Source organism: Homo sapiens, chromosome 10 (genome assembly GCF_000001405.40).
Source record: "Homo sapiens chromosome 10, GRCh38.p14 Primary Assembly".
NCBI classification, from domain to species: Eukaryota; Metazoa; Chordata; class Mammalia; order Primates; family Hominidae; genus Homo; species Homo sapiens.
This window is the reverse complement of record NC_000010.11, coordinates 105,844,562-105,846,435: the sequence shown is the minus strand read 5'-3', so window position 1 is coordinate 105,846,435 and position 1,874 is coordinate 105,844,562. Positions and strand designations below refer to the sequence as shown.

Below are 1,874 nucleotides of genomic sequence, written 5' to 3'. Positions count from 1 at the left end.
ATTGTGAAAGACACTGTGGCAATTCCTCAAAGACCTAAAGACAGAAATACCATCTGACCCAGCAATCCCATTACTGAGTATATACCCAAAGGAATATAAATTGTTCTATTATAAAGACACATCCACGTGTATGTTTATTGCAGCACTATTCACGATAGCAAAGACATGGAATCAACCTAAATGTCCATCAATGATAGATGGGATAAAGAAAATGTGGTATATAAACACCATGGAAAACTATGCAGCCATAAAAAAAGAATGAGATCATGTCCTTTGCAGGGACATGAATGGAGCTGGAGGCCATCATCCTTAGCAAACTAATACAGGAACAGAAAACCAAATAGTGCATGTTCTCACTTATAAGTGGGAACTAAATGATTAGAACATATGGACACATGGAGGAAAACAACACACACTGGGGCCTATCAGAAGGTGGAGAGTGGGAGGAGGGAGTAGATCAGGAAAAATAACTAATGGTTACCAGGCTAAATACCTGGGTGTTGAAATAATCTATACAACAAACCCCCATGACACCAGTTTACCTATCTAACAAACCTGAACCTGTACCCTTGAACTTAAAAATTAAAAAAAAAAACAAAAAACAAGAAAAAAGGTGGTGTATTTACACAGACATATATTATATTGATTGACAGCTAAATGGCAGCACCATATGAACTAAAGATTTTTTTTTTTTTTTTTTTTTGAGGCAGGGTCTTGCTCTGTCACCCAGGCTGGAGTGCAATGGCAGGATCTCAGCTCACTGCAACCTCCACCTCCCAGGCTCAAGGGATCTACCCATCTCAGCCTCTCAAATAGCTGGGATTATGGGTGCACACCACCACGCCCAGGTAATTTTTGTATTTTTAGTAGAGACAGGGTTTTGCCATGTTGCCCAGGCCGGTCTCCAACTCCTGAGCTCAAGCGATCCACTGGCCTCGGCCTCCCAAAGTGAGCTAAAGATTTTTAATACATTGTCTTATCTAATCCTCACAATATCACTATGCTATAGTAGACCACAGTGTGGCCCCCACCCAGACCAGCACAATCAGAAACATGTGGTAATGTTTTACAAATGCAAATTTGCAGTCATCAACTCAGAATTTCTGAATCAGAAGCCCTGGCGTGTGACTCTGCGATTTCCTGGTACACTGATCCAAACTCTCCAGGTGATTCTGACACATTCTGAAGTTTGAGTATTCCTGCATTACGTTCATCTTAAAGATGTGAAAATTAAGGATAAAGGAACTTAGACAATTTCCCTTAAAGTCATCCAGCTCAAATGCGGGAGAGAGGGCACTTAGACATGTGTTCCTCTACATCTGATGCCCATGCTGTGAATCAACATAGTGTATTGCGCTTCTCTGATAACAGTATTCTTTTGTATTGAAGGCCTTCTCAGAGCTTTGGCGCATAAATAAATAAGGTATTAGGATAGAAAATGAGTTCTCCCAGGGAAAGAAACAAGGGAAAGAAGGTAATAAAGCGTTCCTACCAGGCCACAGAAAGAGACAGCTGCAGAATCTATTCACCTCCATGTAAACAGCTCACCAAGAGGGAGGCGTTCAGCAAGGCAATTGGGGTGAAAGCCCTGAAAAATGCCCCAGTCTTTCCCTGCAGGGTTTATGAACCGCTTTGGCAGGCTAACAGCAGCACATTATATGTAATTGCTGGTTTACTCTACCTTGTCTGCCTTTTATTTTCACAAGGAATCCTTGTTATTCAGTGGGATTAGCAAAGGAATCTATTAAGTGGTGGCTACAAAGACTGCACAGTATTTATTCCAGTAATAAAAAGTCTAATTTTGCAATAACATGGCAATCTTTGGGAAGCGCTGGCTGATGGAATCCAAGTCTGGCAAAATTAGCCTCTTTTGG

At 41.2% G+C, this 1,874-nt stretch overlaps 1 annotated feature.

Annotated features, from left to right (window-relative positions):
• Positions 800 to 1,352: an enhancer, noted in NCBI's record as "NANOG-H3K4me1 hESC enhancer chr10:107604842-107605394 (GRCh37/hg19 assembly coordinates)". NCBI's record gives its function as "activates a minimal SCP1, AML or CMV promoter by ChIP-STARR-seq in primed H9 embryonic stem cells {active_cell/tissue: H9 hESC(primed)}" and the evidence as "EXISTENCE:reporter gene assay evidence [ECO:0000049][PMID:30033119]".